This window comes from Homo sapiens, chromosome 20 (genome assembly GCF_000001405.40).
Source record: "Homo sapiens chromosome 20, GRCh38.p14 Primary Assembly".
Classification (NCBI taxonomy): domain Eukaryota; kingdom Metazoa; phylum Chordata; class Mammalia; order Primates; family Hominidae; genus Homo; species Homo sapiens.
The window spans coordinates 10,205,700-10,218,276 of NC_000020.11; the positions used below are offsets into that span (position 1 = coordinate 10,205,700).

A 12,577-nucleotide genomic window follows, 5' to 3' on the forward strand; every position below is an offset into this window, starting at 1 on the left:
TGCCTGTGCCTTTGGTATTTCCACTTTTTTTGGCTATTGGACATAATGCTGCTATGAACATTTATGTACAGGATTTTTTTGATGGATATGTGTTTTCAGTTCTCTTGGGTTTATGCCTAGAAGTAGAACTGCTGCATCATATGGTAGCTCTGTGTTTAAGTTTCTGAGGAACTGCAAAAATGTTTCCAAAGTGGCTACACCATCTTATACCTTACCAACAATAGATAAGTGTTATATATTCTCCACATCTTTACCAACACTTGCTATTTTTCATCTTTTAGATTAGAGATATCTTGGGGATGTGAAGCAGTATCTCCTTGTGGTTTTGATTTGCATTTCCCTAATGACTGATCATGTCAAGCATTTTTCATGTGTTTATTAGCCATTTGTAATCTGCTTTAGAAAAATAATTCTTAAATTTTTTTCTCATTTTTAAGTTGTGTTGTCTTTTTATTGAGTTGTAAAGGTCCTTTAAATACTCTGCATAGAAGTCCTTTATCAGATATATGATCTGCAAATATTATTTTCCTTTTTGCTTTTTGCCTTTTCATTTGTAAAATTGTATCTTTAGAAACACATTTAACTTTTTTTTATTTTGAGGAAGTCAAATTTATAATTTGCTGTCATTTGTATTTTGGTGTTCAATGCCTGATCCAGGGTCATAAAAATGTGCACATATGTTTTATGCTAAGATTTTTATAGTTTTAGCTCTTAAGGTTTTGATCAATTTTGAGTTAATTTTTTTCTATGATATGAGGAACTGGGCCAACCTCATTCTTTTGCAAATGAACCTCATTCTTTTGCATATTTTGCAGTTTTCTGAGCATCATTTGTTGAAAATACTGCCCTTTCCCCATTGGTCTTGGAGCCTTTGTCAAAAATGATTTGACCATACTATATGCAAGCATTTATTTCTGGACCCTCTATTCTATTCCATTGGTCTGACTTTATGCCAATACTACACTGCCTTGATTATGAAGCTTCATTGTAAGTTTTGAAATCAGGAAATCTGAAACTGCAACTTTATTCTTCTTTTTCAATATCATTTTGGTTATTTAGAATCCCTTGAGATTCTATATGAATTTTAGAGGGATTTTTCTATTTCTGAAAAAAAATGTCAATGAGATTTTGATAGGAATTGCATTGAACCTATAGATCACTTCGGGTAAGTTAGTTTTTCTATATGGTGTGAGAAACAGATACGCCATTTTTTTGCATGTGGATATCCAATTCTTGCAGCACCATTTGTTAAAAATACTATTTTTTTCCACATTGAATTCTGTTGTCACCCTTGTCAAAAAATAAATTAATCATAAATGAAAGGGTTACTTCTGGACATTTAATCTGATCCCAGTTATTTGTTTTTATGTTGGTGTCGTAAAGTCTTTATTACTATACCTTTGTATTAAGTATGGAAATGCGGAAGTGTGACTCTTCCAACTTTGTTCTTCTTTTTCAAGATTTTTTGGCTATTCTGGGTTACTTGCATTGCTATATAAATTTTAGAACCATACTGTTTATTTTCCCAAAAACATTTCTGGGTTTTTCAGTAAAGTTTTTGTTTTGTTTTGTTTTGTTTGTTTGTTTGGAGATGATGTCTCGCTATGTTGCCCAGGCTGGGCTTGAACTCCGGGACTCAAGGGATCCTCCCACCTCAGCCTCTTGAGTAGCTGAGATTACAAAGGTGAGCCACTGTGCATAGCTGGGAAGTACAATTAATGTGATAAGTTTTTAAAATCTAGTTCAAATTAATACAAACTTGATTTTGATAGTACACCAAAACTTTGCTCTGACATAGCTCTATTCCCTCCTCCCTCCTTGGTGCTTTTATTTTCATACAAATTACATCTGTATACATTATAAACTCATCAACATAGTTTTACAATTATTGCTTTATGTAATTTCGATCAGATAGGAGAAGAAAAAAATACAAACCAAAATAACACAATAAAGCTGGCTTTTATATTTCTCTTTGTACCTACCTTTACCAGTACTCTTTATTGTTTTATGTGGATTTGAGTCACTGTCCAGTCTCTCCATTTCAGCTGAGGCACTTCCTTTAGTACTTACAGGGAAGGTCCGTTAGCAACAAATTATTTTAGTTATTGTTGCTGTTTTCCTTCCTTTTGAAGGATAATTTTGTTGAATATAGACTTCTTGGTTGAATGTCTTTTTCTTTCAGTACTTTAAATATGAGCATGTCATCCCACTGTCTCTGTGGTTTCTAATGAGAATCTTAATCTTATTAAGGATCCCTTGGACATAATGAGCCATTTTTCTCTTTCTGCCTTCAGTATTTTCCCTCCATGACTTTTAGTTTTGATTGTAATGCACACAGATGTTGATCTCCTTAAGTTATCCTACTGGAGTTTGTTGAGCTTCTTGGGTGTTTAGATTAATGTTATTCCTCAAAATTTTGTTAGTTTTGGCCATTACATCTTCACATGTTCTATTTACCCATTTCTCTCATCTCCTTTTGGTTTTCCTTTATGCTGACTTGGTATGCTTGATGATGTCTCACTGATCTCTGAGGCTTCATTAGCTTTTGTTCATTCTTTTTCCATTTTGCTCAGACTGAATCATCTCAATTGATTTATCTTTGAAATTGCTTGTTCTTTATTCTGCCACCTCCAATATGTTACGGTGCTTCTCTAATGAATTTTTTTATTTCAGTTATGATATTTTTCAACTTCGAAATTTTTATTTGATTATTTACAATACCTATTTATTTATTGATATGCTCTATTTTGTGAGACATCTTTCCCATATTTCCCTTTAGTTCATTGGACATGGGCTAGTTCATTAGTTCTTTAACACATTTATAAGAGCTGATTTTAAGTCCTTGTCCAGAAATTCTAATGCCTAGGTATCCTCAGGGACAGGTTCTCTTGACTGTTTTTCTCCTGCATATGGGCCACATTTGTTTGTATGTCTTAATATTTAGTTAAGAACTACACATTTTAAATAATATAATGCGGCAATTCTGGAAATCAGATTTCTACCTTCATCCCACAGCATTTGTTACTGTTGCTATTTGTTACTACTGTTGTTACTGTCCCTAGTAACAATTTTTGTCTTAAATTCTATTTTGCCTGATATCCACTTTATCCAATTCTCTTTGATTATTTGCATTGTATATATATTTCATCTTTTTTTTTTTCAATCTATTTGGGGGAGTTTTGTTTGATTGTTGAGTGATTTTGCTGAACTACTTTGGTAAGTCTTCTTTATTGTGTATGGCCCTGAAGTCTCTACTCAGCTAATTTAATGTTCAGCTCATGTTTGGACAGAGATTTCCCTAAATACCTTGCACCAATAAGGCTCACAGTCTTTGCTGAGAAGTTCTGTGTATGTATTTTTTGGAGTACTCTTTCAATGCTCCACCAGGCAGGTTACAAAGCTGCCTTAGTCTTTGCTTCCTGATGATGCAGTCTCAGGTTATGGAGAGGTGAGAGAAGAGGGCCTTCTCAGATTTGGGGCATGCACCCAGCTTTCTGCATGTGCATGGCTTTCTAGATTCCCAGAAATACGTGAGAACTTTTGAAAACACCCTATGAACATCTCAGTTTCCAGCATTTCCTGTTATGATTTTTGGTCAACTTCTTATTTGTCCCAGCTGTTACCACTGCCTCAGGCAGCTGCTATGTGAAACATTTGATGCTGATTGTTTTTGACTAATGCTTTGGGGAGATAATGTTTATACTATGTGAGTTCTAAGTTACCTCAAATAAAGATAAGCTTCAAGAGTGGTAGTTTTTAGGGAACTTTTTATTTTTTATTTTTACTTTTTTTCTTTCCAACTTCTATTTAAGATTCAGGGGGTACCTGTGTAGGTTTGTTGCATGAGTAAATTGCATGTCATGGGGGTTTGAGGTATGGATTATTTTGTCACCAAGGTAATGAGCATTGTACCCAATAGGTAGTTTTTTGATCCTCACCTTCAGGAAATTTTCAGACAAGTTAAATAGTGACAATTCTCTCTGGATGGGATTCTGGGGAGCTCCAAATCAATTCTGTTACCCTCCAAATGGCATGTAGGTCCCTGGTTTTCAAGGTTGCTATAAAGCTGCAGAAAGGGGAATGGCAATAGGGCAAGTTAAATGCCACAAAGTTTCTTGTTCTTACCCAAAATGTAGACATTTTTCTTGAATAAATGCTCCTCAGATTGTTGCAAGCCTTTGGTTAATTTCCAGATTTCTAAACAAAAAAATTATTTTAACAATTTTTGCTAGTGTTCTTGTTGCTTTTATGAAGGAATAGATTTTCAGAGGTCCTTATTCAACCATCCCCAAAGTGGCTCTTTCATAATCATAATTTTATTATTAAAATGTTGGCTCCAACAGACCTCCTGACCAGATGTCAGCTCTCATGTCTCATATTTCCATTTTAATCTCAGTATCTTTCCTTAACATTGCCTAGAAAAACACAGGGGTTAAAAATACATTTCAAGGAATCTTTCTTTTCTCCACTTTAAAAATCAATACCGTTTTGTTATACTGAATAAGAAAGGTTATGGAGTTTCCAAAGCATTATAGGAGAGGACATTGAAGACAGAATTTTGCAGCCCACCCAAACCAGGAGAGCTTGCATAAAAGCTTTTTGAAATAATTTTGTTACTGCCATTCTTTTAAAGAAGAGTAACACATTCACAGGAAAACAATAATGAAGATTGTTTAAATAAAATAAAATCTTTTTGCATCTTACTCATTATCCTTCCCAAAAGTAACCATCTTTAAATACTTCCTCTTCAAGTTATCTTTGGTGTTTCCAACCTTAATTTTAAATAATATCTTTTTATTTCTTGATTTACCAATTTTAAATAATATATAAACATCCTTTATGAAAAAACTGAGAACGTTATCTTGTTGGCTCTGTCTCCCTTATTACAACCACTGAACTTTGGTACTTCTATTACTTTTTGGGTTTCTGTTGGCTAACTTTAAAATAATACATATAACTTTATATATGATTATACCATCAGTAAACTTTATTTTTCCTTTTATGAACTTTATACTGATTATTTTAATCCTTTACCATATAAAATGAGTAAATTGCGGTGTCTGCATTATAAAGTCTCTTTACATTGCCCCTCCTAAGCCCTCTCCTTTACTTCCCACATCTGACAGCTCTCTCACTACTTCTATATGTTAGGTCCCATAATATTCAGATTCTGTTTGGTAAATATTAAGTCATTTATTCTTGGTCTACAGTTTAATTTAAACTTCAAAGATCAAAAAAGAGCATTTACAGCTTATGATTATATAGATAGTATTTATTGCAGAACCAGGTAGGGTGGTAAAACTTTAAAGAAAAAATGTCTCTGTGGCACTAAATTTTCACACCAAAAAAGAAAAAAAAATTGAAGATAAAGGACAAATAAAAAATATTTCCTTAAACGCCATCAAAAAATGCTCAAAATTGTGTCGTATAATTGACTTCAGATTTGAACCAAAAATATATGATATAGCTTTTGTTTTTCCTGTCATTATAGGGGCATTTTCTTGTTATTACTGATAGGAGATATTTATGCCATTGTCTGGTTAATACTATAATTAGCTTTTAAACTATACTATTTGTCAAACTAATTTTACTCTGATTTATTACCGTATCTGTTTCCTAGCTTTGGTCCTAGGAAAAAAATGCTACCTTAGTTCTAATATTTCCTAAGTTCCTGGTCTTCCTCCTTTGCATAGATTCCTTTGTGAGTTGTATTGTTAAGGTAAAATCCTTAGAAAATATTTTTATTTGCAAAAAATGTTCATGGGAGGTAATTGTCCTGAGTCTGTCCACATCACATCTAGAAATGTTTTCATTTTGCCCTTCGCTCTTTATTAATATTCTGGCTTAATATAGACTTATAGATGGAGATTTATTTTTCTTGCTGTATTTGAAGACCTGTTCCATTGACTCCTACCACCTGAATTTGTTTTGAGAAGTCCAATTTTGCTGTAATTCTTCCTCCTTTGTAGGCGACCACCTCTTTCTTCTCTATGAAGCTTGTAAGAGCTTCTTTAGGGAAAGTGGGAAAATATGCAAAAAAAAAGAAGCATACTCATTATGTGGTACTACTTACAGTGAACAATATTTACCTAGATATATTCATGGCAGAGTGACTATTTAACACACAGTTGTGTTATTGACAGGATGGGGAGAAGAAACAAGGGTGATGTAAGAGAGCCTCATTATTAGGAAGTCAACTGATGTCTATTTTATAAATCAAGAATTAGCAATGTCTGCATATTATTTGGAAACAAAAAAGAAATTAACCAAAGCAAATGCAAATGCCATTGAAAACCATTGCCTCTGGGAAATATAATATAGATGTAGCTATAAACACATATATAATGTCAACAGGAGAAAAGTGCTATGAAGAAAAATAGTGCAGGGTAAAATAATTTTAAAAAATAGAGGTTAGCAACTTTAGCGAGTTTAGATTGTCAGAGAAGGCTCCTTTGTAAATGTGGCATTTGAGGAGATGAGACATGAGACGATCTGGGGGAGGCTATTTCAGGTAGAAACACTAACTAGTGCAAAGGTCTTGAGATAGGAGTGTGCTTGGTTGTTCAACGGACAGCAAGAAGGCCAACGTGATTGGAATGGAGAGGTGCTGGGAAATGAGTTCGGAAAGGTGGCCAGGAGCATGATCTTGTAGAGTAAAGGAAGAACTTCTAAGTGTGATGGGTGACATTGAAAGTTTTAGAGAAAGGAAATATGATCAGATTTGTCTTTTAAAAGTATCACTGCAGCAGCTATGTAGAGGAGATACAGGTGCTAGAAGACAAATTAAGAGGCTACTGTAATATCCCAAGAGAGAAATGATGGCGACTTAAACTAAGGTGGTATCCGCGGAGGTGCTGAGGAGTAGTTGGATTTGAAAAGTATTTTGACAATAGAGCAACAAGTGTTATTTATTATGTGTGAATATAAAAAATATCCTTGAAATAATATAAGATTTTCATCCTCAGGGACTAGGAATGTCAATGCCGTTCGCTAATATGGAGAACTAAGATGAAGGGAGCCTCTTGAAGTTAAAAAATCTGAAATCTGCTTTGGATATGCTAAGTTAGATGTCCATATTTGCCTTATGCTTAAGTACAGATATTGAGTAGAAACTTGTGCATACATGATGCAGTCCAGGAGCAAAATTAGGGCTGAATATGTAACATAAAAGCATCAACACATAGACACTACCCAAGGCCTTGGAAATGGATACACTTACCAGGGAATGATTATGTAGAGAGGAGAGAAGTTCCAAGTCTTGAACGCTCGGAGTTGAGAAAATGAAAGCAAAGCCAGCAAAGGAGAGTGAAAATAAGATGCTTGTGAGTATACTAGTTTGGAAGATGGGACATCATGAGAAAATGTTAATTAAGAATGTAAGAGGCGAAGTAGATTCTTGCAGAGTATGGAACCAACTTATGCATATATATGTTCAGTTTGAGGTGCCTTTGATTCAGCCAGATAAGAGTGTTCATTAAGAAGCTAGGAATATGACTTTGAAGCTCACAAGAGTGAGTGAGACTGGCAATAGGAAATTAAAAGTCAAATATATAAAAAGATGGTTAAACTCAAGGGTATGAAATCAGATTTTTTGAAGACAACATATGAAGGAAGATATAGAACACTGAGTCTCTTGAGGTACCATGGTCAGTAGAGAAGGCTGAAAGACCAATCAGAATTCTGCATTTTCTGATGTAGAATTTAGAGTAGGAAGTTTTCAGTACCTATTCTAACTCCATTACCAACTGGCTGCATGGTATAAGATAATCATGTATTAATTGGGAATTAAAATAATAATTACTATTATACATACCTCAGAGAGTTGTTGCAAGAATAAAATGAGATCATGTGTGTGACAGTTCTTTGCAACTTTCGTATTTCTTTAGCACAGAGCTATATAAAAGAGAGCTATTTAATTTTTTTCTCTTTGGCTTAGAGCACAGAAGCTTTCAGGGTGGAGAGTCAGGACAGGTTCTATGGACATATGGAGCTCCCAGGGGGGCTTGTGCAGGACTCAAGGAAATGTCCAGCTTAACCTGCTGGGCACAACAATTTTGCTGCTTCAACCCATCTGCTATGGAAAATGAGGAGCCAACAAAAAAGGGAGAAACAGAGGTGAAGGCACCTGATAATGAAAGCTTTAAGAAAGGGAAGGGGTAAGTACATGCCGTCAGGTGAACCCAGAAGTCAATAAAGATGAAAAGTCCTTTGGACCATGACCAAGAGATTATTGATGCAATCTGCTGATGTCTTAGAATGTGCCTTGCCTAGGCTGGTGCCTGTGAGCTGGCAGAAGTGTGATGCCCTTCTCCGCTAGTATCAATAAAATCGCACGAGATATTCTTGCCCCATTCCCAGGTATATCCTGAGTCATTCATTTCAACCCAGCTTAACCCCATCCTCACCCTCAGAGTTCTTCACCCTTGGAATCAATTCGTGTTGAAGACCTCATATCATCTGCCTCAAAACCACTGATCCACATTGCCATTCTGTTCTGACCTCTGGCTGACTTGCTTAGGTATATTTTGAGAGCATTTTCTGCCCTGATTCTTATTTAAGCTGTTTATTGGATATTGATCTCTGAATTCCCTCCTTGATTGTAATTTGAACTCTCTTCCTTTGAATATGTTGTTTCTGTTCACCTCAGGTTAACAGCCTAGACTTCTTTCTTGAAATTCGCCACAGCGAAACCTTGTGATTCAGCCAACCAAACCAGTAATTCATACTCATCCCTCTAGCAAACGAAACCCTGAAGTTGCTAATGAGAAAAGGCATATGCAAGCCACAGTGTGTTGAGGCAGAGAAGGTAGCTGCAGAGGGCAGAAAGGAGTCTGATGGAGCTGGAGGAGGCTGTACTAAAACATAGTGATTATGAGCTTGGGCCCTGGGGTTCAAACCCCAGCTATCCCATTTCTTAGCTGTGTCCTTGGCCTGGTTATTTAACCGCTCTAACCCTCAACTCTCTACTCAATTTTTCCTAGACCCCAGTGCTAAGCATATGGCAGGTGTTCGATATTGAGTAAATGAATAAGTTCATATAGATGAAAAAAACAAGGCCCAGTATGATTGATACATATCTAATTAATAGCTAATGAAAAAAATGGCAATCCTCCATATTAAAGCCAAGCTACATGTCATTTCTTAGAGAAATAAAGTTAAAGTCTCATCAAAATGATAGATTTTATTTAGCCAATACTTCATAGTGCTAGACATGACACTCAGTGCTTCATAATTTCCTTGTGTATTTGCTATAATTATTGTCTCCATTTTACCTATGAGATAATTGAGATACAAAGAGGTTACAGAACTAATATGATTCCTAAAAGATTTACTCAAGGAATACTGTGATCCCTAACAAATAGCCTTTTTGAAGTGTACTAATTTGGACTACCATTTTCTCTGCCTCTCTGTTCCTAATTGTCACAGGTTCTTCCTCCCTACTGGACCACAGGCGTGTCTCAGCATTGGGAAGGGTCCTAGGATGCATTGTAAAAGAAAGTCTGTAATTTTGGTGCATCAAGGAACAAAAGTGTGGAAACATCCAGCCTGTGGCTGCTGGACACTCCCCTTCTTCCTTCTCACCATACTGTCTGTAATAAAGAATAAAGTGTTATTTAATATTCTGAGTGTACAGTCCTATTTTTTCTTAACCTGGCAAACCAGAAACAGCAACTAATATTCCTGGTTCTCTTTTTACCTTTCACAAGATCTATATCTACCTTAGAGGCTTCAGGGAACAAGAACAGCCTGGATAGTTTAAACCTAGAGTTAAACTACTCGAGGCATTTTAAGGTACCGCTACTTCACTATATATAAATGGGGTGGGGGGCTGGATTAAGGGCTAGAAGAATATATGAAGAGAAAGTGGCAAGCAAACCACTTGGAAAGCAAACCAAGGAATCAAAACAGTTGCTCTATCAAACTGAATATTCTTGCGCAGAACTGAATATTCTTTGCCCTCACAGTGTTTTGAAACATTGTCATAGGGTGCCAGGCATGTCCCAAAGGAGGACCCTGGAGAGAGGGCTTCTGAGCTGGGCTATCTCTAAACTGCTTCCAAGTTGACTTTGGAAAGATCACATGGGATTTTAGAAAAGTTATTATTATTATGACTTATAAAATTGTAGTTATTGAGTCAACTATGAATCTTGCACCTTACCTTGGAGATACAAGCTAAATACCTTGGACCTAGAGCTACTGCAAACCAGAATACTTTGGGGCATAATGTACCAAAAAAGCTTTCAGAGGCTTGAATTATCACAGTGTAAATATCCATCTAGCAGAGCAGGTAATTTTCTCGTTACTCATCCTAAGCATTAGATACTCTGTGTGTTAGTTCTTTGCAGAAATAACCCATAGCAGCTGAACCATTTTGGAACAAATTTTCCATCACCTTCCTTCCCTGTGTGGTTCAGGCCTTTGCAAACCCTGAGTATCATGAATCTGCTGGTTCTCTACTGGCAAAGATGATGACGTTTTCTTGTTTGTTTTTGTTTTGCTTTAATCATGCCGTGAGAAAATCCTAAGGGAAAAAAATCTCATTATCCTATTCAAAATACATTTAGGGTTATCTGGTCATCCCTAGCAGATTTTTATGTACCCAATGTTTATGTATCTCAAATTACACTCTGTTACCTTTCCCAGAGCAAGATGAAGAACCTCTAAGAACCTCTCAAACAGCATCATTTTCACAACAAGCACTAGCAATGGAAAACATTGTCACCACCACCAGCTAATCTTGTAGGGTCCATGGTATTTTCTGTAATGCCTTGAAACAGTCTGCCTCTCTCTTCTTGTCTGTCATTTTTATAGATGTCAGTGTGGGGCATCAGCAGTTGAAAACTCAGAATACCAAGCCAGTCCTTCCCTGTGACTGCTACATAGCTTTTGCCTGCAGGATAAGCCTCCATCACTGACGTAGTTGCTTTTTAACTTCTTTTTTTTTTTTAACTTGGAAAATCCCCCACCTCCTCCATTCCTTCACAAAACTTTCTGCCTGAATGATTTCTAGTCTGAGGGCCATACACACATTTTTTTTTCTCCCTCTGCAGGTTTTTTTTTCTCTTCAAACTTCCGCATGCTGCCTTTTTTTAAAGTGTCACACTTTGGAAAAAATTCTGACTACAAAGGATTTTGCAGTACATTGCATTCAAACCCCTTTCCCCCTATTCCAACTTGCTTTATAATGAAAGTAAGAGCCATACTCAAGAGACTTTTATTGGCAATTAAGTATCTAAGGACTTTGCAGATTTTCTTCTTTATTGTATGGCAATCTTAAATGTTTAATGAATATTTAAGTAAACAAATTTCAGCAACATGCCTTTTTTAGGAATTTGGCTTTAATTAACATCCAAACACTGTTAATTATTATGGCAAAAACATCAATACGTCAAAAAAAAGCCTTCAGGCCAGGGAATCTTTAAGAAACAATTATGTCTACTAATTTCGATTAAAGGTATCCTTTATTAAATTCTTAACAACCCGTCTCTTTCTAAACGCAGCGCCTTCACAACTCTTCTTCCCTTCCCCCTACCCCGCTTCCCTCCCTCCGCAATGGAGCGCAATCAAAGGCCGTATTATTGCCTAAGCTTGGCTCTCAGGCCAGCTAGGGATGTGTGTGTGTGTGTGTGTGTGTGTGTGTGTGTGTGTGTGGTGGGGCGGGGGTGGGGGGCGAGGGTGCAAGGGGAGAGGTTGTACGCCGCTTTTCCGAACCCAGCTCTAAATGGTTTCTCCTAAGCGAGACAAGGATTTTCCATAGCCTAAAAGAGGCCATCAAGTTTTAACATTGCGAGGCACGACTTCTAATCGCATCCTTCCCGGAAAAGTACAAACAGTTCCTCAGACGAGGTCCCCCACCTCCCACGCGCTCCCCAGCCCTCCCTCCCTGCGGAGAGCCCCGCGACAGCCTCCCCAACACCTGTGAATCATCCGGGAGGCTGCCACCGCCGAGCGATCCGCGCACCACCCCCTTCCCGGGCCCGGGCACGGCCAGGGAGGACAGTTAGGGTTGTTGCTTTATAATTATCACTTTTAATCTCTAATACGACCAGCACAAGTAGCCTTTGTCTCCCCGCCCTGATTTGAGCATCCGAGGGCCCCCCGAGGCAGCCTGCACGGGTACCCCGGGGTTTGCGCACTGAGTGAACCCCCAGATTCGGCCGTGTCCCAGCCGTCCTTGCTCTGAATCCCCCACCTCCTCCCGGCCGTTTGGACGGTTCCCTCGGGGCGTCTGTGCCTCCGTGGGGTACCCCTAAGACACCCAGCATGAAACCCCAGCACCGACTGCAAATTCCACCGAAAGCAGAGTCATCCGTTTTTGCCCTCGGCAAACAACTCAACTTCAAGCCTCGAGTCCTTGCAAACCCACGCTGGCTGGGCTAACTCCGCTTCCCTTCTCCTTCCCCCGACTCCTGCAACAGCTCAGAGAGCCTGGCTCTGACGTAGTTCAAAATAACGTGCGCCAGCCTCGCTGCCCGGCTGACCACAGCAACGAGAGCCACAAGCCCTCGACGCTGCTTCGATAACATGAAGCAATCACTCATAAAAATAGCAACCCACGTAGCCTGGCCATATATGG

At 37.7% G+C, this 12,577-nt stretch overlaps 2 long non-coding RNA genes across 2 annotated transcripts in view; one reads left to right on the forward strand and one right to left on the reverse strand.

Moving 5' to 3' along the window:
• The window catches only part of SNAP25-AS1 (SNAP25 antisense RNA 1), a 195,695-nt gene that overhangs the window by 181,888 nt on the left and 1,230 nt on the right, over positions 1–12,577 (reverse strand). The window lies entirely within an intron of this gene.
• LOC124904959 (uncharacterized) lies at positions 7,781–9,620 on the forward strand. The gene is made up of 2 exons (XR_007067723.1): positions 7,781–8,156; positions 9,427–9,620. It is a non-coding gene; the product is annotated as an uncharacterized LOC124904959 (long non-coding RNA).